At 38.6% G+C, this 27,541-nt stretch overlaps 1 protein-coding gene across 1 annotated transcript; it reads right to left on the bottom strand.

Moving 5' to 3' along the window:
* Positions 1–187: 187 nt before the first annotated feature.
* Positions 188–14,102, bottom strand: OOSP4B (oocyte secreted protein family member 4B). The gene is made up of 5 exons (NM_001395278.3): positions 13,870–14,102; positions 7,222–7,403; positions 6,278–6,375; positions 1,354–1,501; positions 188–481 (listed from the first exon to the last, which is right to left on the bottom strand). The coding sequence occupies exons 1-5, from the start codon at positions 13,889–13,891 to the stop codon at positions 449–451; spliced, it is 483 nt and encodes a 160-aa protein (NP_001382207.2). The 5' UTR covers positions 13,892–14,102; the 3' UTR covers positions 188–448.
* Positions 14,103–27,541: the final 13,439 nt, after the last annotated feature.

Raw genomic sequence — 27,541 nt, 5'->3', positions numbered from 1 at the left:
AAAGAAAAAAGCAGTATAGAAAGCCACAGATGAAGGGCTCATGGGAAAATCCTCCTTTTGAGTGCATTATAAAAGAGGGAGACTTCAATATATTTCACTAAGACACGGTTACGAAGAATAATGGGTAAAACTAAAGTGAGCAACTAAATCATAAAAATGCTGAATGTTAATTCAGAAAAGAACACACTGGGTATGGGCAAGCTTTATTATGTATGAGCTTGATTTCAGAGTTAGAATGGCAATTTCACTTAAAATTAACTCATTAAAAAGTATAAATATCATGGTATAGATATGTTATTCAAAACTCCAAAATGTAGTGAAACTGGTAACAGATGTTGCTACTCATCTTTGTACAGACACATCAACAGTATTGATGAAACTGGTTTTCAGACAAGATGTATCACTTGTTCCCTTGCTTTAGGGAGGAGAGGGTGTTATAACACAGGCATTATTGATACAGTGACTTCTTGGATAGTTGCTCCTGTAGGATAGGGGGGAAAAGCAGTTAAGAGCTGCTTAAATATAACCTTACCTAAAAAGAAAACACGTTCAGAGAACTCATGGGTGCTCAATTAGAAGTAATGTGGAAAAAAAAATCACATTTCTACCCTAAAATGTAATCTATGGAACTAACCAGCTATATCAAATATAACCATTAGATATTATGCTATTAGAAGTGATTAGCATCTATGTGTTGGCTAGATGACTGCCTTTCTGAGACTATCAAGTAATTACATCATACATTTCAACTTTGATTTTAAGTGGTTTTCAGATCTCTAGAACAAAGCTTATTTCTTTATGAAATGTCAACTTCAAGGCTATTGTCAATATGCACAAGTTTTCTGACATCCTTTTAAAATAAGCTCAGTAGAAAAATCCTGATTAAAAAGAGTGTTTTCTACAGGTATTAATCTTAGGAAAAGTGCGAATTAGATGTAGTGACTTCCTCTGAATTTAAGCCTAGTTTACCTATCTGCCTACTTATTTTATACACATATATGTATATAGACATGTTTTTCTACAAATATTAGTATGAAATTAGAGATCTGGTATGGGCCTTCTATGACAACAATTTCATTTTGTCACAGGCTATATTGAAAATGAACAGTTTAGTACCTGAGAGAATAGGTAAGGAAACTGACCAGTATGGAACCTATTCATGTTCATCTGCAACAAGAAAATGATAACTATATCCAAGTACAGACTACGGTACCTAATTCTACAGGGTTCATATTAAAACCAGAGCAATTTCAGCATGCAGCATTCAAATAGGAATTTACATCATTGCCTTCCTTGAAGTTATATTTAACAAATTGTGGTTAACTATAAAATAAACAACCTTAATATTCTCACCTTATTAACACTGTTAAAATTAAGTGTCCATGTTTTACTTTGTGTGGGAGTTGGTGACTCTTGTCCTTTTGTTTTTTGAGGGATTTCTTTCAAGGTGTGGGCATCAAACCCACTCATTCCAAAATGCATCACAGAGGGGAATTTAAGCCTAAATGCAGAGCAAACAAAAGAAAAGCACAGGATTAATAGCTGTACAGATTTTTTGTGGGAAAAATATGTATTAGATAGGTTCGTTATAAGTGATAACCCAAAATAACTGACTTGTGGAGGAAAGGCAAAGTAGCTCAGTAAATCTAAATAAAGAGTTTGTAACAGAACCTTGAATAGGATGGTACTTATTGATCCAGAATTGATCCTTGACTTGACTTTGAGGCTCCGGGGTCAATAAAAGTTTTGAAGAGCAAAATGATTGTTAGATGTGACAAACATTCTATCTATGCTGAATGGACTATGACTCAACCAAGCCAGGCCACACACACACATCCCAAGATTAGAAATTGAAAACAGAGACCCATATGTATGCAAAAAGATGCTACCACCAAAATCTTAGGCAGGAAATAGAGACATAGACACACCCCATTCCAAGGTTAAAAAGGATTTCACCACCTTTAACTACCATCTCAACCCTTCCCCATCCTATCTTAGGAGTTGTAGTGTTTATTCCCACTGCTGCTCTTTCCTTCCCTGCATGTAAGAAAAAGGAATGTGGTTTGCTCGTCTCTCAAAGCCAGCATGTAGGCAGTTCCAGGAGAATGATTCAGATTCAGAGTACATGTGTAAAGGGAGGCTAAAATCTCATTCAAATTTTCTATATCTCTTGTTGAATTTAGAAGGGCTAATATGTCCTGGCCTATTTGATCTGGGAGAAAAATGGACTGCGAATAGATAAGGCATAATAGCCTTTACTTCTATAATCTGCTATTGAAACCATTTTTTTTTGAGAGCTCAGTGGATGCCTATATAGACGGCAATATAGTTCAATCCCATCTGCTAAGATTCCCCTTAAGACGGCCAGCACCAAGTGAGAAATCCAAGGATCAAATCTGATGTTCATGATAGACCCACTCAAAAAGTCATTAAGTGAGGAAGACCGGCATTTGGACCCACCGTGGAGAAGGCATCTATGCTCAGTGTTGGCCAAAAGACCCCTACAACAATTTCAGCAAAGAGATATTTTCTCTTTTCATGTCTTAATACCATTACTCTATCCCAGCAAACACAGGAAAAGTAGGGGAAGAGAATAGATTTTAAAACCACAGAAAGATCACATTTAAGAATATACTCCAAAACTCAAACCCCAGCGTAGCTGGAACTGGAAAGAAGGGAAGGAAGAAAACTAAGTATGAAAATCTAGTATTAAGTTGTATTCCACTAGGCTTCACAAGTCTAATAACCAGAAAATGAACTTCAAGATGATGTCAAACATTGAGGAAAAATTTACATTGCATAAAAGCAGTGATTACACGCCAGGTGCAGTGGCTCATTCCTGTAATCCTACCACTTTGGGAGGCCGAGGCAGGTGGATCACTTGAGGTCAGGAGTTCGAGACGAGCCTGGCCAACATGGTGAAACCTCATCTCTACTAAAAATATAAAAATTAGTCTGGCATGGTGGGGTATGCCTGTAATCCCAGCTACTCTGGAGGCTGAGGCAGGAGAATCGCTTGAACCCAGGAAGCGGTGGTTGAAGTGAGCTGAGATCGCACCACTGCACTCCCGCCTGGGCAACAGAGTGAGACGCCGTCTCAAAAAAAGAAAAAAAAAACAGTGACTACGAAACTACTTTCTGCAAGTTTAGACTATCTGATAATTAAAAGGTGAATATGACAATATCAACTGCAAAAAGGCAACTAGATCTCAGGAATCAGAAGTAGGAATTTAAATGACATGTAACTTATCACCACATTTATATGCTCATTGCCTTGACTCCATTGCCATAAGTACCACTTCTTTCCATGATCCAAAAGGAGGAGACTAACGGCTTTTTTTTTTAAAGACAATCTCACTCTGTCACCCAGGCTGGAGTGCAGTGGCGCTATCTCAGCTCACTGCAACCTCCACCTCCCAGGTTCAAGCGATTCTCCTGCCTCAGCCTCCCAAGTAACTGAGATTATGGGCATGTGCCACCAGGCCTGGCTAATTTTTGTATTTTTAGTAGAGACAGAGTTCCACCACATTGGTTAGGCTGGTTTCGAACTCCTAGCCTCAAGTGATCTGCCTGCCTTGGCCTCCCAAAGTGCTGGGATCATCTTTTTTTTTTTTTTTTTTTTTTTTTAATATCATAGCCTTTACCTGCTTAGAGGCTGACAAGTTTACAAAGGCTGTTTGAAAAACTAATTGGCATTGTCCAAGTCAGGTGCTAACCCCTGGGTCAATAAAGTGGAAGAGGATAGGAGGTGCCTATAACAATATAGCAGCTAATATTATAGACAGAGGTTGAGAAGACATTGGGGGCTGGAAGAACAAACATATTTTCTCAGATTAAAAGAGGATACAACAGAGGTACATTTTCTACCCCGTTCCAGGAAGTATGGGGGACTCATACCAATTTGTAAAAATTCCTCATGGTCAGGGAAGCATGTTCTTTAAAAAACCAAAGACTACCACCAAAATCTTAGCCAGGCAAGAGAGGGAGACACCCCATTCCAAGGCTAAAAAGCAGTTAGATTCCACCACCTTTGGCTATCATTTCAACCCTTCACCATCCTACTTTAGGAGCTGTAGTGTTCATTCCCACTGTTAAATCTTTCCTTCCGTGACAGTGAGGAAAAGGAATGTGGGGGCGGGAGTGGGGAAAATGAGAAAATTACCTACTGGGGACTATGCCCAGTACCTGGATAGCAGGGTCAATAGTATCTCAAACCTCAGAATCATGCAATGTACTTATGTAACAAACCTATATATGTACTCCCTGGATCTAAAATAAGAGTTAAAATTTAGAAAATTAAAAATAAAGGTTAGAACCACTTTAAGATCAACATGAATGTTTATGATATTTAGCTACTGTCTGGTTAACAATTGTGTTTATCCTGATGTAGCAACACTGTCGATTAGTAAATCTTTATTACAGAAAAATCTAAGTCTACACTGTGCAAATGTTACCACTAACCACATGCTGCTACTGAGCACTTGAAAAAATAGCTCGTGCAACTCAATTTTTTGTTGTTTTAATTTTAGTAATTTACATGTAATATTACCAGTGGCTACTGGTTACTATGTTAGACAGCAAAGGTTTAGAGATGACTGGCGAAGTTTGAAGAACAGAGGTTCCTTTTAAAAGCTGATTTCAAGTCATTCCTTGCAGGGTGCCTTAATTTTGTCTGACCTTTTCCACCCTTCAAGAAGTATAAGGATATAGTGAGAATTTGTTTGAAATCATCCTGAACAGCTGAAAATGGCATTGCTAAGTTGCAAATGAACTTAGGTAGTCAAGATAAAGATCAAATAGATCATTAAGACATAAATAAGAGCCCAGAGAAATCCAAGCTTATAAGGTCATTGATATAACGAAAGAGTCAGAGCAATTCAAGGATGAAAGAAATTTCATTTCAGTTAATGGTACTGTATCAACAGGATGTCCCTATGGAGAGGGAAGAATCTTGACCTTTCTTACACTACATGCAAAAATTAAGTTCAGATGGATTATAAACCCAAATATATTCAAAACCATAAAACTTCTAGAAGAAAATAACACTTGGCAATAGCAAGGAATTTTACGACAGAACAGAAAGCAATAACTAGAAGGAAGAGTCTATAAATTAAACTCCAAAATTAAAGACGTCTGCTCATCAAAAAACACATTAAGAAAATTAATAAGCAATGTGGGGACTGGGGCGAAATACATCTGACAAAGTCCTGGTCTTTAAGATATGAAGACCACTTACAACTCAAGACAGATGATGCAGAGTAAAAATGAACAAAAGACATGGCTCACAAGAGACATAAAAATGGCCAATGAGCACTAATAATTAGTTATCAGAAAATGCAAATTAAATATGACTATGCACCTATTCAGATGGTTAGAATAAAAAACTGACATCAGAGGGTGAAACCACTGGACTCCCATACATTCCTCGTATTAGTGCCAAAAAGGACACCTTATTTTGGGAAAATATTCATCATTTCTTACAAAACTAAACATACTCTATGATCAAGCAGTCCCATTCTTAGGTATTTAAAGGAAACAAAAACATACACCCAAAGATATGCAAACATATGGTGATAGCATATTTATTCATAATAGCCAGAGACTGAAAACAGCACAAGTCTTCATCAAATAATACGTATCTAATGAAATATACCACTCGGCAATATAAAGAAACAAGCTACTGGAATATACAACATAAACGAGTTTCAAACATTCTGCTGAAAGAAATAAGCTAGACACAAAAGCATACATGCTGCGATTCTATTTCTACAAAGTTATAGAAGAGACAAGAACAGTGAGGTGTGGCTGCAGGAACCAACTGGGAAGATCCACTTTCTGCAGCAATCAGTCTTACTCATGTCAATAGGGTTTTATGTTAAACATAAAGCTCAGTTGACAAATGCATTAACTTGTGTAACATTTATATATTAATTGCATGTGAGTTCTTCTTCAAGTAAATTATTGATCCTTGATTCATGATACGCATGCTGAAGCACTTAGGGAAAAGTGTACTCATGTCTTCAATTGGAAGTGCATCAAAATTGATAGATGGGGAAATGATTGTGTAACAAAGTTTAGCAAAATGGTAGAATCTAGGTACTATATATAAATTCCTTCAATTCTGTACATTTGAACATTTTCCTTAGAGTTAGAGAAACTTTAGAAATTTATGCCATACACATCCCTCCAGGGCATTTTTATAGCTGCATTCTTAACAGAAACATCTATCAACCAAATAATAAATTTAAGAATGTGTAAGAGAAGTAGCTACTCATACCTCTTCACAAAGCAAACCACTGGAAATTCATAGGTAGTATGCAACCTTGGTTTGTAACTGATCTCTGATAATATGGCGTCATCATTTGTTTGGAACATCTGAAACAATTGAGAGTTTTAATACTAGAAGGCATTAAATTCTTTTGGTGGCTTAATGATCTTAATAGAATCTGCTTTAGGAAAATCCGGAAATGGCATTTTACATTAATTTAACAGATATAAAATAGTAGACCTCATGAGAAATACTTTATTCTCCTTTTTCTCCTGGTCCTTCAACTTCTTTGCCCCCATCTCTAATACCAGATGGGGGATAGGAGAAAATTGTCTCTGGGTCTGTTTTAAAGTATATGTGCTTTTTCCAAAGTAGTACAATTGCATATATTCATAAACAATGTTCCCAGCTATTAAAATCTGACAGCAGATGGAGGTAGTAAAACTGAGAAGGCACAGACCGTACCTTATGACTTTGAGACAGAGTTTCACTTATCACCCAGGCTGGAGTGCAATAGTGCCATCTCAGCTCACTACAACCTCTGCCTCCCAGGTTCAAGTGATTCTCCTGCCTCAGCCTCCCAAATAGCTGGGATTACAGGTACCCACCACCACACCCAGCTAAATTTGGTATTTTTAGCAGAGACTGGGTTTAACCATGTTGACCAGGTTGGTCTCAAACTCCTGACTTCAGGTGATCCACCCACCCCAGCCTCCCAAAGTGGTGGGATTACAGGTGTGAGCCACCATGCCCAGCCCCTTATGACCTTTTTAAAGTCCCTTATCTGAAATGTCCCAATTAAGTAGATAAGCACCTGGTCCTATCTAACAATTGATCACTGCAAGAGATAGGAAGATGCTTGAAAATTTTAATTAGGAAGGAACTTTTGATACTATGTAGCCCTGAAAAAAAAATTCAGTATATGTTTTAGGGAAAAGCATCATGGCACTTACAATTTTCTTGATCCCACAAGAAGTGACAGGATAAGAAAACGCGTAGTTAAATGACAACAGTCTTGTTACAGGACAGTTATCTCTCAGGTGTATGTCGCCAATTCTAATGTCTGTGTTCTTATCAAAAGGCCTTATTTTCATTCTGACTAACAACCAATCATCAGAGCACATTGCAGTTATTGCTAAAAGAAAAAAAATCCAAAAAGTAATATGGTAGTATACTTCCTCCCAAGACATTACACTATCAGTGCTGACAGACAAATATAACACAAGCTACATGGGTAGCGTTCAGTCTCCTATTAGCCATGTTCAAAAATAAGCAGGTATAGGCCAGGCACAGTGGCTCATGCCTGTAATCCCAGCATTCTGGGAGGCCGAGGCAGGTGGATCACCTGAGGTCAGGAGTTCAAGACCAGCCTGGCCAACATGGTGAAACCCATCTCTACTAAAAATGCAAAAATTATCCAAGCATGGTGGCGTGCCCCTGTAATCCCAGCTACTTGGGAGACTGAGGTGGGAGAATTGCTTGAGCCCAGGAGGCAGAGGCTGCAGTGAGTCGAGACCATGCCACTGCACTCCAGCCTGGGCAACAGAGTGAGACCCCCATCTCAAAAAAAGACATTAAAATTAAAATTTAAAAAAGCAGGTATAGTTTAAAATATATTTCATCTAAGCTAATATATCCCAAATATGATCATTAACATGTAACAAAACAAAAATTGAGATTAGATTTCTTATACTAATTTTCTGGAACTGATGTGTGTTTTGTATTTGTAGCACAATTCAAATTGGCCACACTTCATGTGCTCAAAAGCCCCTTGAGGGCGGTGGCTGCTGTGCTACTCTGTACTTTACACAGCTGCAAAAATCCACAGAGAGGTTAGTTGGTTATTTAATTTCTTTGCAACCATTTATTCATATTTAGAGTGAACGTAGTCATTATTATCTACCTTTTAGGGTTCTGTGATGATTAAATGAAATAAGGCATATAAAAGATCTTGGAACACTGCCTAGAACTTAAATGCTCAATTAATGTTTATTAAGGTAAAAACAATTTAATGGTCTTTATATAAGACACTACCACCACCAATTCCTTCCATAGAGATAGATCTCCATCCATCCATCCTCAGTATCAATTAAACTAAACCTGATCAGAATTTAATACTATATAAAAGATTAGGTTTCAGAGTCCAATCTTCTCATATTAACCTGAAGAAGCTGTGGCTATATCCTAGGAACATTTTTACAATATCAGGCACACAGTGACATTTCACATTTTACTATTATCTCTCCCCACCCCTAGGGGAAAAAAAAAAAACCACATCTTCATCTCTTTATCCCCATATGGCATGTATTTGGTCTTCAGTATGAATTTTAATTAAATAAGTGACTAGTCCAACCACAGAAGACATTGACCCAGGTTTTAATCCCAGGACAGTTGGCAGTATCCAAGGATCTACAGAACTCTGTCTTCCGTAAAATGTTTGGCTTAGAATGAGCCTTATTTGGCCTAGAAACCTGAGGTTACCAACTTGATACATGCTTTTTGGGACAGCTAGAAGAACAGAGACGCAAGTACAACATGGAACTCAGCATTTAGAATTTTGAGAAACCATTTTCCTAGAGAGATTAATAGCATAAGTTATTCATATAAGAAAGTTGATAGATACTGATAGTAAATACAGTGATGACAGCTGCAGAAGTGAAGTTTAGGGTGAGGATGAAAAAAAATCTGCAATCCACTTACCTCATAGCAGCAGGACTATGGTACAATGTCCTTCTTGGTCCATGTCGAAACGGGAATTGTAATTACTATCAAGTCCCTCCTTTTATTCAGACTAAGAAAGGAGCTGTAGCCTATGTATTTTCTGTTTGTATCCCAAGGATAGATATATTTATCTTAAAAAGCAAAGCTTGCAGGGCCAGGCTGTCATTGAGGGGTTAATATGTTAGACCACAAGCCTGTTCCCATGGGGATTCCCACATTTATTGTCACATTAAATAAGAAGTTCTGCTGTTTATGTACCAATTCCTAGGTCAAATTTCACCACATTCTTTTTTTTTTTTTTTTTTTTTTGGAGATAGAGTCTTGCTTTGTCACCCAGGCTGGAGTGCAGTGGCAGGATCTTGGCTCACTGCAACCTCCACCTCCTGGGTTCAAGTGATTCTCCTGTCTCAGCCTCCTGAGTAGCTAGGACTACAGGCATGTGCCACCACACCCAGCTACTTTTTGTATTTTTAGCAGAGACAGGGTTTCGCCAGGCTGGCCAGGCTGGTCTCAAACTCCTGACCTCAGGTGATCCACCCCCACCTTAGCCTCCCAAAGTGCTGGGATTACAGGCGTGAGCCATGGCACCCGGCCTATGTTCTTGTTATTGAGTCTAACAAAGAAAACCTGAGATAGGACAGATAATGTCTTCATTTTCCAGATAAGAAATTAAATGCTCAAACCATTAAATTACTTGAAGAATCTTAAGTCCGGTACATAACGTGGCTGGCCCTAATACCAATCAGACAGTGATCTAGGCCATCAGTAGTCAACTCAGTCATTGCTGCAATCTAAACAGTGTCTTCTTTGTCCACTGAACATCTGTGTCTTAGGAGAGGTAGGAGTGAAAAAGTGAGAATTAGAATAACAGTAAGTGCCTGACTCAGGTTTCAGTTAATTATTCTCTATTCACAGAGAATTCTCTATTCTCTATTAATAATGCTAGTTGGTGAGTAATTTGTTTATAGCCTTACTAATCAAAGTCTGGTCCACAAATCAGTAACATCAACATCACCTTAGAACTCATTAGAAATACTGAGTTCCAGATCTCATCTCTAACCTATTGACTCGGTTTGCATTTTAATAACAAGATGACTTACATATACAAAGTTTGAGAACTGGTCTAAGAGGTACCAACATTCAGAGCTGCAAGATGACCACTGAATATAATAAAAGCAGGTAAAAACATGTGAAGAGAAGGATAGATGAGAGGCCAGATTTCTTTCACATAGCCATTCATTCAATTTTTATATAACTAATACTTTCCAGTGCAAGGATGGAAGACGTTGTGTGTGCCAAGCATTATGGCTAGACCACAGTTACAAAAATGCCATAAAAAATAGATTGGTAGTACTCTGGGAGCAGGAGCTAGGTTTTGTTTTGAAAGATGGAGTCTCCCTCTGTCGTCCAAGCTGGAGTGCAGTGGTGAGATCTCAGCTCACTGCAACCTCCACCTCCTGGGTTCAAGTGATTCTTCTGCCTCAGCCTCTGGAGTAGCTGGAACTACAAGCATGTGAGAGGTGACAGCGTGCTGGCAGCCCTCACAGCCCTCGCTCGCTCTCCACGCCTCCTCGGCCTTGGCGCCCACTCTGGCCGCTTGAGGAGCCCTTTAGCCCGCCGCTGCACTGTGGGAGCCCCTTTCTGGGCTGGCCAAGGCCAGAGCCAGCTCCCTCAGCTTGCGGGGAGGTGTGGAGGGAGAGGCGCCGGCGGGAACCGGGGCTGCTCGCTGTGCTTGCAGGCCAGCGCAAGTTCTGGGTGGGCGTGGGCTCCGCTGCCCCACACTCGGAGCCGCCGGCTGGCCCCCGCCCCCACCCGGGCAGTGAGGGGCTTAGCACCTGGACCAGCAGCTGCTGTGCTCGACTTCTCGCTAGGCCTTATCTGCCTCCTGGCGGGGCAGGGCTGGGGACCTGCAGCCCGCCATGCCTGAGCCTCCTCCCCCACCGTGGGCTCCTGCAGCGGCAGGAGCCTCCCCAACAAGCGGGGGCCCCCTGCTCCAGGGTGCCCAGTCCCATCCACCATCCAAGGGCTGAGGAGTGCGGGCACACTGCATGGGACTGGCAGGCAGCTCCACCTGCAGCCCCGGTATGGGATCCACTGGGTGAAGCCAACTGGGCTCCTGAGTCTGGTAGGGACTTGGAGAATCTTTATGTCTAGCTAAGGGATTGTAAATACACCAATCGGCACTCTGTATCTAGCTCAAGGTTTGTAAACACACCAATCAGCACCCTGTGTCTAGCTCAGCGTTTGTGAATGCACCAGTCCACACTCTGTATCTAGCTACTCTGGTGGGGACTTGGAGAACCTTTGTGTCCACACTCTGTATCTAGCTAATCTAGTGGGCATGTGGAGAACTTTTGTGTCTAGCTCAGGGATTGTAAACGCACCAATCAGCACCCTGTCAAAACGGACCAGTCAGCTCTCTGTAAAATGGACCAATCAGCAGGATGTGGGTGGGGCCAGATAAGGGAATAAAAGCAGGCTGCCTGAACCAGCACTGGCAACCCGTTGGGGGTCTCCTTCCAAACTGTGGAAGCTTTATTCTTTGGCTTTTTGCAATAAATCTTGCTGCAGCTGTTTGGGTCCACACTGCCTTTATGAGCTGTAACACTCATGCGAAGGTCTGCAGCTTCGCTCCCGAAGCCAGCCAGACCACGAACCCACCAGGAGGAACAAACAACTCCAGACGCGCTGCCTTAAGAGCTCTAATACTCACCGCGAAGATCTGCAGCTTCACTCCTGAGCCAGCGAGACCACGAACCCACCAGAAGGAAGAAAACGCCGAACACATCCGAACATCAGAAGGAACAAACTCCGGACACGCCACCTTTAAGAACTGTAACACTCACCGCGAGGGTCCGCGGCTTCATTCTTGAAGTCAGACCAAGAACCCACCAATTCCGGACACACATGCACCACTACACCTGGCTAATTTTTGTATTTTTAGTAGAGATGGGGTTTCACCACGTTGCCCAGTCTGGTCTGGAACTCCTGAGCTCAAGCGATCTTCTTGCCTAGGCCTCCCAAAGTGTTGGGATTACAGGCACTAGGTTATTTTTTTTTATTTTTTTTCTGAGAAAGAGTCTCGCTCTGTCGCCCAGGCTTGAGTGCAATGGCGCAATCTCAGCTCACTGCAACCTCTGCCTCTCAGGTTCAAGTGATTCTCCTGCCTCAGCCTCCTGAGTAGTCGGGATTACAGGCACGCACCACCATGCCCGACTAATTTTTGTATTTTTTTGTTTAGTAGAGACGGGGTTTCGCCATATTGGTCAGGCTGGTCTCGAACTCCTGACCTCATGTGATCTGCCTGCCTCGGCTTCCCATAGTGCTGAGATTACAGGCGTGAGCCACTGCACCCGGCCTACAGGCACTAGGTTTTTAACTCATTTTACTCCCTAAGTTTCCCTAGATTCGTCTAATGTGACTAAAGTACACTTAGTTCTCAATTTCATCCTTAACTACATACCCTAATTTTGGTCTCAGGGAATGGTAATAGAGAAAGACCCACATACAAAAAAGACATTAAGGCATTGAAATCTCAAAGAAAGATCAAACAAACTCAGGTGTAACAGAGAAGCCAAGTCTGATTATGAGAAAGGTAATCGCAGGTTTGAGATTTGATACTGGGTAGCCCCCCACAAATCTTATTCACTCTGAGAAGTACAAAGAGGCGGTCATTAGCTTCGGTTGTTAGAAATCAAGATTATGTGAAACGCAGCAGTGGTTTCAGCTGGTTTCAGGTCTGGCACTGGTTTTGCTTAGAAAAGGGGTCTCACAAATATGTGCCTTAAAGTGCTTCTAAGCTAAAATAAAACACAAGGCTGGGTTTCTCAACTCAGCCTCACTGAGATTATAACCAAAGAGATTTTGTGGTTGTTGGCTATACATTGCAGAATGTGTAGTGGCATTCTTGACCACTATCCACTAGATACGAGTGACAAACGCTGTTGTGACAGCCAAAAATCCCTCTAAACATTGCCAAATGTCCCCTGGAGGGCAAAACCACCCGCTGAGAACCAGTATTCTAATGTAAAGGTGGAAGAGAACCAGTGCATGGTTACAGAAACAGGAGAAAGTCCATAGGCTGCTTTATTTGGCAAACCTCTCACACTGACATTAGACGCAGCCGACATCACTCTGGCGCACTGAACCAAACAACTATTCTCTCATTACCTCACGGTAATTCCAGCACTAAGATTTGAGTGTTTTCATTTCACGGGGCCTCTCATCATCTTATTTTAAGACACTATACATTCCTAGTAATTTTTTCCTGGCAGCCAAAATTAGAGAGACTTCAAAAGTAACTTGCCCAAGTTCATGCAGCTAACAAGTACAATGCTGGGGCTCAACTGTTTCCCAAACTTCAGTATATAGAGGAAGCAATTAGAACTCATCCAAATTCAGCTGCTTACTCTCTATATAATTTTCATTCTATCTCTCCAGCACCATGGATAGGCCAAGAGAGCCTGTAATCCTCCCCAGAAACCCAGAGATCTCTAAGGTAGTCCTTCCTTTCCCTGGTTCTTTCAAATTATAGGAGCCCCAGTTATGTTAGAAACATGGGTCTCACATTAGAAGAGGGATAATGGCATAAGATAAACTAAAACTGGAGAACTTTCAAATTGGCTTATAGAGAAAGAAGACTGAGCACAGTTTATGTGACCAGAAAGAGTAATTTTTTCTTAACTGAGTAATAGAAACAGGCAGCCCTACCTGTTGGTTTATAATCAGGGGGAAAAAAAAAAATCTCAGCTTTTTACACAGCAGTGTTTTAGAAAGTAATCTTATCAGTTTAAATCACCACCTCTGAAGATATTTCTTATGCATACCTGGGTTGAATCCAGAAGAATTCCAAAACAATAAAGAAAAGAGGAAGGACCTACCTAAGAGCACAGAGGTCTTCATTGCTCCAGACTCCAAGACACAACATAGAAAACAAGAAATGGCAAGGAGCTGGGGGTTCCTTGAGTGCTTATAAACCTTTGGCCACATTCAGCTGTCTGCAATTACCCTCTGCTGGGGCAGCCCAGGGAAACCCCTTAGCATCTTCTCAAAACATGGCCCATCAGCTGGCAGTAGCTGCAACACTTCACCTGTGCCATAGGCAACCTGGGAGCTTGTTAGACGCAAAATAACAGGTTTCACTCTAGACTTACAGTATCAATCACAAACTGCATTTCAATGAGATTTCCAAGTAGTTCACCTGCATATTAAATTTGAGAGGCATTTTTCTTAGCATAGCTTTAGTCTGGGCCACTTGACTACCAACTTCTTAAAAATTATTTTAAAATTAGAAATCATGATGTAAATAAAGTTACTCAATCTATTATACATCTCTAGGTATATGGATGTGTCTCAGTGAAGTCCTACACACCTACCTGTGATACTTATTAATTAAACTGTAAGGAACAAGAGCCCTAGGATTTAAAAAGCATCAGGAGACTGACACAGGTGACACATTTGTGATTTCATCTCACCATCATTCTCTCATTGTGGTTCAATTTTAAATTTCCTGAACTACTAATGAGGTTGAGCCCCTTCTCAAACATTTACTGACCATTTGGACACCCTCTATTGTGAAATCATTTTCCAAATTTTCTATTTCGTTGTCTGTATTTTTAAGGTTAATTTGCAAAAGACTTTTATATATTCTGAATATGAATCTCCTGGTTTATGTGTATTGTGAATATCTTCTACCACTCTGTACTGTGATGGTTAATTTTATATGTCAATTTGATTGGGCCACAAGGTGCACAGATCTTTGGTTTAACGTTATTCTGGGGGTGACTGTGAAGGCGTTTTTCAGTGAGATGAACATTCAAACGGGTAGACTGAGTAAGGCAAACTGCCTTCACCAATGTGGGTGAGCCTCATTTAATCTGTTGAAGGCCTGAATGGAATAAAAAGGTTGAGAGAGGCAGCATTCACTCTCTCTGTCAGACTGTCTTCAGCTGGAACATTGGTCTTCTCCTTTTCCTGACTTGAATTTAGACTAGGACTTACACCGTCACCTCTGCTGGTTCTTAGGCCTTTGGACTTGCACTGGAACGATACCCTTAGCTCTTCTCAATCTCCACCTTGCTGACTGCAGATCTTGGGACTTCTGAGACACTGGGAATCACAGGAGCCAATTCCTTATTGTATATGTGTGTGTATACGTGTGTGTGTATATATCTCACATATATATGGTATATTATACAGACATATACATCTCATATTGATTCTATTTCTCTAGAGAGCCCAAATAATACAGTAGGTAACCTTGTTAATTTCCTCATGGCATATTTATTTAATGATAATAAACAGAATAATTAAATATTACTATGGTCTAATTTTTTCCTTTGGAGTTTGTGCACTTTATGTCTCTTTTAATGTCTTTATTGATCTGAAATCCATGACAATTTTTTCCAGTATTCTCTTCTAAAAACTTTATAATTTCGCTCATCATATTGAGGTTTTAAATCTACTTGGAATTGATTTTTGTGAATAGAAAAGCATATTTGACCATATGGATAGCCATCTGGGGATTGAAATAATTTATTTATTTAAAAGTCCATCTTTATCCACAGTTCTGCAGTCTGTCTTTCATAAGTCAAGGTGTGTATGCCTATTTCCAGAGCCTCTATTTTATTCATTTATCTATTTATTTATTCCTGTATCAATACAAATATATCTTGTTTACCATAGATTTATCTTGATATTGTTACAGTAAGTCCTCCTTCTTTTTTTTAAGTGTTCCCATTTTTTTGACCAATTATGTAAATTTTAAGACCAGCTTGCCAAGTTTTAGAAAAAAAAAACCTATCGTTCAAGAGAATGAGAAGGCAAGACATACACTGTTAGAAAATACTTGCAAAAGACATAACTGATAAAAGACTTTTGTTCTGGAGTGGGCAGATCTATGCAAACTGACCCCAAAGTCCAAGGAAGCTGAAGGGGCAGAAGAAAGTGGTTGACAAATCCAGTTTCTTAAAAAGAAACATTTAATAGGGACTTAGAAACCATGTAGCCATGTTGTGCCTCAGTGGAAACGAGACCAGATGGTGGATCCCATGCCTTTTTCCCCTAGATCCAGAGGTGTATACCATAGGGAAGGGAAATACATGATTCAGAAGAGATGTGTAGGACAACTGAAGTACGATGACATGAAGGTTGTTTTGACCTAAAGGCAGGATTTACACACTCTTACCTAGGGAGCAATAGATAAACTGGAAATCTTAAGAGGCCTTCTTAGAACCAGGGTTAATCAAAAGTCAACATGGCAAATTAGCATTCAAGATGTAGTTGCTTTATCTCCACAACTGTTATCCAAAATATACAAAGTACTCAAAGTTAACAATAAAGAATCAAACAATGCAATTAAAAATGGGCCAAATACCTGGACACCTCACCTAATAAGATATGCAGATGACAAATAAACATATGAGAGGATGCTGCATGTCACATGTCATCAGGGAAATGCAAATTCAAAGAATGAGATACCACTACACACCTATTAGAATGGCTAAAATCCAGAACACTTGCAACACCAGTTAGTTGCTGGTGAGGATGTAGAGCAACAGAAGTTCTCACTCAGTGCTGGTGGGAATAGGAAATGGTACAGCCGCTTTGGAAGACAGCTTGGTAGTTTCTTACAAAATCAAATATACTCTTAGTGCCTGCTCCAGCAATGTGCTCCCTGGTACTTAACCAAAGAAGTTGAAAACTCATGTCCACACAAAAACTTGCACACAAATGTTTATAGCAGCCTGAATCATAATTGCCAAAACTTGGAAGCAACCAAGATGTCCTTCAATAGGTGAATGGATAAACTGTGGTACATCCAGACCATAGAATATTATTCAATGCCAAGATGAAATGAGCTATCATCATACCATGAAGAGACATGGAGGAACCTAAAATATTTGCACATTACTTAGTGAAAGAAACCAATCTGAAAAGGCTGCATATTGTATGATTCCAACCATATGATATTCTGGAAAAGGCCAAATTACAGGAATAATAAAAATATCAGTGGTTTCCAGGAGTTGGGTGGAAGGAGGGATAATTAGGCAGAGCACAGAGGACTTTTAGGACAGTGAGACTATTCTGTATTATACTATAATGGTGAATATACGTCATTATACATTGATCTAAACTCATAGAATGTATAACACCAAGAGTGAACCCTAGTGTAAGCTGTGGATTCTGAGTGATAATAATATGTCAATGTAAGTTCATCAATTGTAACATATTTACCACTCTGTTTGGGGGTGTTGATAATGAGGAAGGCAATTATATGTGGAGGCAGGGGAAATATGAAATACCTTCCTCTCAATTTTGCTGTGAACCTAAAACTGCTGTATAAAGATAAAATGTTTTTAAAAATGGTTGCAATTTTTATTGTGATTGGAATCAATCTATATCCCACAAGACTGCCAAATCATGAACATATTATCCCTCCATTTATTTACGTCTTTAGTGTCCGTGAGTAAAGCATTATAATTATCCCTTTACATTCTTACAAAGGTTCTGTTAGATTTATTCAAAATAGTTATTATTTATATGCTATTGTAATTTTTTAATGTTTTCTAACTACCAGGTATATTTGATGGAACCTTTATCAAAATAAGGGAATTTCTTTATGTTAATAGTTTACTCATTTTTTTATTATATTTTAAGTTTTAGGGTACATGTGCACAACGTGCAGGTTAGTTACATATGTATACATGTGCCATGTTGGTGTGCTGCACCCATTAACTCGTCATTTAACATTTAACTCGTCATTTAACATTAACATTAACATTAACTCGTCATTTAACTCCTAATGCTCTCCCTCCCCCCTCCCCCCACCCCACAACAGTCCCCAGTGTGTGATGTTCCCCTTCCTGTGTCCATGTGTTCTCATTGTTCAATTCCCACTTATGAGTGAGAACATGTGGTGTTTGGCTTTTTGTCCTTGTGATAGTTTGCTCAAAATGATGTTTTCCAGCTTCATCCATGTCCCTACAAAGGACATGAACTCATCGTTTTTTTATGGCTGCATAGTATTCCATGGTGTATATGTGCCACATTTTCTGAATACAGTCTATCATTGTTGGACGTTTGGCTTGGTTCCAAGTCTTTGCTATTGTGAATAGTGTCACAATAAACATACAAGTGCATGTGTCTTTATAGCAGCATGATTTATAATCCTTTGGGTATATATCCAGTAATGGGATGGCTGGGTCAAATGGTATTTCTAGTTCTAGATCCCTGAGCAATTGCCACACTGACTTCCACAATGGTTGAACTAATTTACAGTCCCACCAATGGTGTAAAAGTGTTCCTATTTCTCCACATCCTCTCCAGTACCTGTTGTTTCCTGACTTTTTAATGATCACCATTCTAACTGGTGTGAGATGGTATCTCATTGTGGTTTTGATTTGCATTTCTCTGATGGCCAGTGATGATGAGCATTTTTTCATGTGTCTTTTGGCTGCATAAATGTCTTCTGTTGAGAAGTGTCTGCTCATATCCTTTGCCCACTTTTTGATGGGGTTGTTTGTTTTTTCTTGTAAATTTGTTGGAGTTCATTGTAGATTCTGGATATTAGCCCTTTGTCAGATGAGTAGATTGCAAAAATTTTCTCCCATTCTGTAGGTTGCCTGTTCACTCTGATGGTAGTTTCTTTTGCTGTGCAGAAGCTCTTTAGTTTAATGAGATCCCATTTGTCAATTTTGGCTTTTGCTGACATTGCTTTTGGTGTTTTAGACATGAAGTCCTTGCCCTTGCCTATGTCCTGAATGGTATTGCCTAGGTTTTCTTCTAGGGTTTTTATGGTTTTAGGTCTAACATTTAAGTCTTTAATTCATCTTGAATTAATTTTTGTATAAGGTGTAAGGAAGGGATCCAGTTTCAGCTTTCTACATATGGCTAGCCAGTTTCCCCAGCACCATTTATTAAATAGGGAATCCTTTCCCCATTGCTTGTTTTTGTCAGCTTTGTCAAAGATCAGATAGTTGTAGATATGCGGCATTATTTTTGAGGGCTCTGTTCTGTTCCATTGATCTATACCTCTGTTTTGGTACCAATACCATGCTGTTTTGGTTACTGTAGCCTTGTAGTATAGTTTGAAGTCAGGTAGCGTGATGCCTCCAGCTTTGTTCTTTTGGCTTAGTATTGACTTGGCAATGCAGACTCTTTTTTGGTTCGATATGAACTTTAGTTTTTTCCAATTCTGTGAAGAAAGTCATTGGTAGCTTGATGGGGATGGCATTGTAGTTTACTCATTTTTATCACCACTGAATATTGAATTTTATCAAATTTTTTACTGTGCTCTACTAAGTACATTATTTGTTAATGTGGTAACAAACTTTAATACATTTTTAATACTAAATCTAAATTTCACCATAGACACAAACCCAATTGATCATATGTTTTTTAATGTATTTCTGGAGTTGATTTTTCTAATATTTTATATACAGCTTTTACATCTATGTCTAATTGAGGCTTTCTATTGTAGTTTGTTCTTAGTTTAATTATTTACCTCTCATTCTTGGAATTCATTTCTTCAAATGTCTGTTAATGGTTGTTTAGTACTATACCTTTCAGCTCTTCTTCTTTTGTAATGTATAATTTTACACCATCAATTTCTCTAGTTGTAACCTACAAAGGATAACCGAAAGTGTTATTGTTTTTATTCAAAATGCTTTCTAATTATTATAGTGATTTTTTGATCCACTGCTTATTAAGAGAGGTCTTACCCAATTTCTCTACATGTTGAATTTTAAAATAGTTGCATTATTTTATCATTTATCATTTATTGTTGAACTCTAATTCCCACCTATCAGAAAACATACAGTATATTATTTCAATCCTTTGAAACAAAACTTGTCAACTTTTTGTAAATCTATGTAAGATTTAAAAGATTATATATTCTACACTCAGGATATGGTCATCTATAGATGTCACTAGGTCAATTTTGTTAACTGTGTCATCCAAATTGCCAAAATCCCAAAGAATTGTGAACGTATCACTGTATCATTTACTGTGAAAGGTGTGTTAAAATTTTCCTCTTACACACATGCATTACTTAAGGATATATTCTGAGAAACGAATCATTAGGCAATTTCATCATGGGTTAACATGATAGCATGTACTTACATAAACCTAGATGGTATAGCCTACTACACACCTGGGCTATATGGTATAACCTATTGCTTCTAGGCTACAAACCTGTACAGCATGTGACTGTACTGAATACTGTAGGCAATTGTAACACAATGGTAAATATTTATGTATTTAAATATAGAAAAGGTGCAGTAAAAATATGGTATATTTGAGACCAGGCTGGGCAATGTAGTGAGACTCCACCTCTCCAAAAAAAAAGAAAGAAGAAAAAGGATAAAAGATTTTAAAATGGTACCCCTGTGTCTGAAGTGGGCCTCCAGCAAACTCCAGAAGATCTGCAGAAGAGGCCTGACTGTTAGAAGAAAAACTGACAAACAGAAAGCAAGAACATCAACATCAACAAAAAGGACCCCCACAAAAGAAAAAATCCCATCCAAAGGTCATCAGCCTCAAAGATCAAAGGTAAATAAATCCACAAAGATGAGGAAAAAACAATGCAAAATGCTAAAAATTCCAAAAACTAGAATGCCTCTTCTCCTCCAAATGATCGCAACTCCTCTCCAGCAAGGGCACAAAAGTAGATGGAGAATGAGACTGATGAGCTGACAAAAGTAGGCTTCAGAAGATGGGTAATAACAAATGCCTCTGAGCTAAAGGAGCATGTCCTAACCCAATGCAAGCAAGCTAGGAACCTTGATAAAATGTTGCAGGAACTGCTAACTAGAATAACCAGTTTAGAGAAGAACATAAATGACTTGATGGAGCTGAAAAACACAACATGAGAACTTCATGAAACATAAACAGGTATCAATAGCCGAATTGATCAAGCAGAAAAAAAGGATATCAGAGATTGAAGATCAACTTAATGAAATAAGGTGTGAAGACAGGATTAGAGAGAAAAGAATGAAAAGGATGAACAAAGTATCCAAGAAATATGGGACTATGTGAAAAGACCAAACCTACGACTGATTGTTGTACCTGAAGTATGAACAGAATAGAACCAAGTTGGAAAACACTCTTGAGGATATTATCCAGGAGAAATTTCCCAACCTAGCAAGACAGGCCAACATTCAAATTCAGGAAATACAAAGAACAGCATGAAGATACTCCTCCAGAATAGCAACCCCAAGACACATAATCGTCAGATTCTCCAAGGTTGAAATGAAGGGAAAAATGTTAAGGGCAGCCAGAGCGAAAGGTCAGGTTACCAACAAAGGGAAGCCCATCAGACTAACAGCGGATCTCTCTGCAGGAATCCGACAAACCAGGAAAGAGTGGGGGCCAATATTCAACATTCTTAAACAAAACAATTTTCAACCCAGAATTTCATATCCAGCCAAACTAAGCTTCATAAGTGAAGGAAAAATAAAATCCTTCACAGACAAGCAAATGCTGAGGGATTTTGTCACCACCAGGCCTGCCTTACAAGAGCTCCTGAAGGAAGCACTAAATATGGAAAGGAAAAACCAGTACCAGCCACTGCAAAAACACACCAAAATATAAAGGCCAATGACACTATGAAGAAACTGCATCAACTAATATGCAAAATAACCAGCTAGCATCATGATGACAGAATCAAATTCACACATAACAATATTAACCTTAAATGCAAATGGGCTAAATGCTCCAATTAAAAGACACAGACTGGCAAATTGGATAAAGGGTCAAGACCCATCAGTATGCTGTATTCAGAAGACCCATCTCACATACAAAGACACACACAGACTCAAAATAAAGGGATGGAGGAATATTTACCAAGCAAATGGAAAGCAAGAAAAAAGCAGGGGTTGCAATCCTAGTCTCTGATAAAACAGACTTTAAACCAAAAAAGATCAAAAAAGACAAAGAAGGGCATTACATAATGGCAAACAGCTCAATGCAACAAGAAGAGCTAACTATCCTAAATATATATGCACCCAATACAGGAGCATCCAGATTCATGAAACAAGTTCTTAGAGACCTGAAAAGAGAATTAGACTCCCACACAATAAAAGTGGGAGACTTTAACACCCCCACTGTCAATATTACACAGATCAACAAAACAGATGAACCCAGCTCTAGACCAAGTGAACCTAAGAGACATCTACAGAACTCTCCACCCCAAATCAACAGAATATACATTCTTCTCAGCACCACATAGCACTTATTCTAAAATCAACCACATAATTGGAAGCAAAACACTTCTCAGCAAATGCAAAAGAACAGAAATGATAACAGTCTCTCAGACCACAGTGCAATCAAATTAGAACTCAGGATTAAGAAACTCACTCAAAACCACACAACCACACAAAAACTGAACAACCTGCTCCTCAATGACTACTGAGTAAATAAGAAAACTAAGGGAGAAATAAAAGAGTTTTTTGAAACCAATGAGAACAAAGACACAACGTACCAGAATCTCTGGGACACAACTAAAGCAATATTAAGAGAAAAATTTATAGCACTAAATGCTCCCATCAGAAAGTGGGAAAGATCTAAAATCAACACCCTAACATCACAATTAAAAGAACTAGAGAAGCAAGAGTAAGCAAATTCAAAAGCTAGCAGAAGACAAGAAATAAGTAAGATGAGAGCAGAACTGAAGGAGTTAGAGATATGAAAAACCCTTCAATAAAAATCAGTGAATCCAGGAGCTTGTTTTTTGAAAAGATTAACAAAATACACAGACCACTAGCCAGACTAATAAAGAACAAAGAGAAAAATCAAATAGACACAATAAAAAATAATACAGGGGATATCACCACTGGTCTCACAAAAATACAAACTACCATCAGAGAATACTATAAACACCTCTATGCAAATAAACTAGAAAATCTAGAAGAAATGGACAAATTCCTGGACACATACACCCTCCCAAGACTAAACCATGAAGAAGTCGAATCCCTGAATAGACCGATAGCAAGTTCTGAAATTGAGGCAGTAATTAATAGCCTACTATCCATAAAAAAGCCCAGGATCAAATGGATTCACAGCCAAATTCTACCAGAGGTACAAAGAAGAGCTGGTACCATTACTTCTGAAACTATTCCAAACAATAGAAAAAGAGGGACTGCTCCCTAACTCATTTTATGAGGCCAGCATCATCCTGATACCAAAACCTGGCAGAGACACAACAAAAAAAAGAATTTTAGACCAATATCCCTGATGAACATCGATGTGAAAATCCTCAATAAAATACTGGCAAACCAAATCCAGCAGCACATCAAAAAGCTATTCACCACAATCAAGTCGGCTTCACCCCTGGGATGCAAGGCTGGTTCAACATTCACAAATCAATAAACATAATCCATCACATAAACAGAACCAATGACAAAAACCACGTGATTATCTCAATAGATGCAGAAAAGGCCTTTGATAAAATTCAATGGCCCCTCATGCTAAAAACTCTCAGTAAGCTAGGTGACTGCATTGAATTTGTAGATTGCTGGAATTGATGGAACATATCTTAAAATAATAAGAGCTATTTACGACAAACCCAAGGCCAATATCATACTGAATGGGCAAAAGCTGGAAGCATTGCCTTTGAAAATCAGCACAAGACAAGGATGTCCTCTCTCACCACTCCTATTCAACATAGTATTGGAAGCTCTGGTGAGGGCAATCAGGTAAGAGAAAGAAATAAAGGGTATTCAAATAGGAAGAGAGGAAGTCAAATTGTCTCTGTTTGCAGATGACATTATTGTATATTTAGAAAACCCCACAGTCTCAGCCCCAAAACTCCTTAAGCTGATAAGCAACTTCAGCAAAGTCTCAGGATACAAAATCAATGTGCAAAAATCACAAGCATTCGAATACACCAATAATGGAGTCAAATCATGAGTGAACTCCCTTTCACAATTGTGACAAAGAGAATAAAATATCTAGGTATACAACTTAAAAGGGATGTGAAGGACCTCTTCAATGAGAACTACAAACCACTGCTCAAGGAAATAAGAGAGGACACAAACAAATGAAAAAAAAATTCCATGCTCATGGATAGAAAGAATATCATGAAAATGGCCATACTGCCCAAAGTAATTTATAGATTCAATGCTATTCTCATTAAGCTAACATTGGCTTTCTTCACTGAATTAGAAAAAACTACTTTAAACTTCATATGAAACAAACAAACAAAAAAAGCCTGTATAGCCAGGAAAATCCTAAGCAAAAAGAACAAACCTGGAGCAATCACACTACCTGACTTCAAACTATACTGTAAGGCTAACCAAAACTGCATGGTACTGGTACCAAAACAGATATATAGACCAATGGAACAGAACAGAGGCCTCAGAAATAACACCACACATCTACAACCATCTGATCTACTACAAACCTGACAAAAACAAATAATGGGGAAAGGATTTCCTTTTTAATAAATAGTGCTGGGAAAACTGAAACTGAACTCCTTCCTTACACCTGATACACAAATTAACTCAAGGTGGATTAAAGACTTAAACATAAAACGTAAAATCTTAAAAACGCTAGAAGAAAACCTAGGCAATACCATTTAGGACATAGGCATGGGCAAAGACTTCATGACTAAAACAACAAAAGCAATTGCAACAAAAGCCAAAATTGACAAATGGGATCTAATTAAATTAAAGAGCTAGGCCTCAGCAAAAGAAACTACCATAAGAGTGAACAGACAACCTACAGAATGGGAGAAAATTTTTGCAATCTATCCTCTACTATCAAGAATCTACAAGGAACTTAAACAAATGTACAAATAAAAAACAACCCTATCTAAAAGTTAGCAAAAGATATGAACAGACACTTCTCAAAAGAAGATATTTATGCTCCAACAAACATGAAAAAAGACTCATCATCACTGATCATTAGATAAGTGGAAATCAAAACCACAATGAGATACCATCTCACGCCAGTTAGAATGGCGATCATTAAAAACTCAGGAAACAACAGATGCTGGAGAGGATGTGGAGAAATAGGAATGCTTTTACACTCTTGGTGGGAGTGTAAATCAGTTCAACCGTTGTGGAAGACAGTGCGGGGATTCCTCAAGGCTCTAGAACCAGTAATGCTATTTGACCCAACAATCCCATACCTGGGTATATACCCAAAGGACTATAAATCATTCTACTATAAAGACACATGCACACGTATGTTTATTGCGGCACTATTCACAATAGCAAAGCCTTGGAACCAACCCAAATTCCCATCAATGATAGACTGGATAAATAAAATGTGGCACTTATACACCATGGAATACTATGAAGCCATAAAAAGAATGAGTTCATGTCCTTTGCAGATACATGAATGAAGCTGGATACCATCATTCTCAGCAAACTAACACAGGAACAGAAAACCAAACACCGCATGTTCTCACTCAAAAGTAGGAGTTAAACAATGATAACACATGGACACAGGGAGGGGAACATCACATACTGGGGCCTGCTGGAGGGTGGAGGACAAGGGGAGGGAGAGCATTAGGACAAATACCTAATGCATGCAGGGCTTAAAACCTAGATGATGGCTTGATGGGTATGGCAAACCACCATGGCACATGTATACCTATATAACAAACCTGTACATTCAGCACATGTATCCCAGAACTTAAAGTAAAATTTTAAAAAAATGGTACCCCTGTATAAGGCACTTACTATGAATGAATCTTGCAAGACTGGATGTTGCTCTGGGTGAGTCAGTGAGTGAGTGATGAGTGAACGTGAATGCCTAGGACATTACTGTAAGCTACTGGAGACTCAACACTTACACTTAGGCTACTGTAAATTCATTTTAAAATTTTTTCTTCAATAATTAACCTTAGCTTAACTTTATTACTTTATAAAATTATTTTTTTTTACTTTTTGACCATTTTGTAATAACAGCTAGCTTAGCTTAAAACACATACACTGTACAGCTGTACAAAAACTCTTTCTATCCTTATTCTATAAGCTTTTTTCTATATTTAAAACTTTTCATTTTTTACTCTTTAAACTTTTTTCTTAAACAGTAAGAAACAAATATACGCACTAGTCTAGGCCTATGCAGGGTCAGGATCCTCAATCTCACCGTCTTCCCTCTCCACATATTGTCCCACTGGAAGGTCTTCGTGGGCAATAACACACAAGGAGTTGTCATCTCCTGTGATAACAATGTCTTCTTCTGGAATACCTGCGGAAGAAGCTGTCTGAGGCTGTTTTAGTTCACCTTATTTTTAATAAATAGAAGGAATACACTCTAAAACAATTATAAAAAGTAAATACACAAGCCAGTAACATAGTCATTTGTTATCATTTTCAAGTATTATATACAGTATATAACTGTATTTCTATACTTTTATATAACTGGCGGCACAGGTTTATTTGCAACGGCATCACCACAAACATGTGAGTAATGCATTGTGCTACAACGTTATGACAGCTATGCTTCACTAGGCAATGGGAATTTTTCAGCTTCTATAATCTTTTAAAATTCTTTTATTTTTAATTATTATGAATACATAATAGCTGTACATCTTTATTGGATACAGGTGATATTTTGATACAATCATACAATGTGTAATGATCAAATCGGGGTAATTAAGACATCCATCGTCTTAAATGTGTATTATTTCTTTGTGTTAGGAAAAAAATGTTTATTCTAACATTATCCATGTTTTTCAGCTCACATGCTCATCTATAAACCCCAGCCTGCCATTACCAGAAACTTTAACTCTCTTTTGCATTTTTTAAAATTTTTCTTAAAATTTATTTATAGAATTAGAAGAAGCTTAGGAAAAGGGCCAAATATTTACATTTTGGTAGCTATATCCTATGTGCCTTCAAATAAATGTGTGATCTGTTTTCACTTTGAAAATCTAAATTCAATTTATAAACATTGGTTATTGTCTATGTTATCAAATTTTGATATTCTGTTAAACAAACTAGTCCTACTTTTTAAAATAGTTTCATAGCTTTTAAAAAATGTCTAATTAACAAATAATATTTATATATTTATAGGGTACGATGTAATATTTTAATACAGGTATACATTATGAAATAATTAGATCAAGTTAATTAACACATGCATCACCTCACATACTTATTTTTGTGGCAAGAGCACTTGAAATTTACTCTTGACAATTTTGAAATATACATTTTTTTCATAAATTATTGTGAAATTTCATATAATGATTTGTGAAATTGTGGTGCACCCATCACCCAAGTCTGAGCTCAGACTCTCCTTGGGCAGGTCTTGCTACAGCTGCTGTAGGGGATGGGAGTAAGGTTCCCACGTCAATGGAGTTGTGTATCTAGGAGGATTATGGCTGCCTCTGCTGAGTCATGCAGGTTGTCAGGGAAGTAGGGAAAAGATGGCAGTCACAGGTTTCACCCAACTCCCACACAAACCGAAGAGCTGATCTCACTCCTATCATGCCCCCATTAACAGCCTTGAGCCTTTTTCCAGGTGGTGGGCAAGTTGGGCTTCAGAACTTGCCCCAGGCTACCCACCTCCCAGCTGTGAAAGAAAAGAGCTTGGTTCTTC

The sequence above is a fragment of the Homo sapiens genome, chromosome 11, assembly GCF_000001405.40.
Source record: "Homo sapiens chromosome 11, GRCh38.p14 Primary Assembly".
Lineage (NCBI taxonomy): Eukaryota > Metazoa > Chordata > Mammalia > Primates > Hominidae > Homo > Homo sapiens.
This window is presented reverse-complemented; position numbering and strand designations above follow the sequence as displayed.

Excerpts from the sequence above, each read along its gene's own strand:
- OOSP4B (NM_001395278.3), bottom strand. The coding sequence starts at position 13,891 with ATGAAGACCTCTGTGCTCTTAG. Across the intron at positions 1,502-6,277 it reads GTGGTTTGCTTTGTGAAGAG|GCTTAAATTCCCCTCTGTGA; the intron begins GTATGAGTAGCT and ends CTCTGCATTTAG. Across the intron at positions 482-1,353 it reads ATTTTAACAGTGTTAATAAG|GAGCAACTATCCAAGAAGTC; the intron begins GTGAGAATATTA and ends CCTATCCTACAG.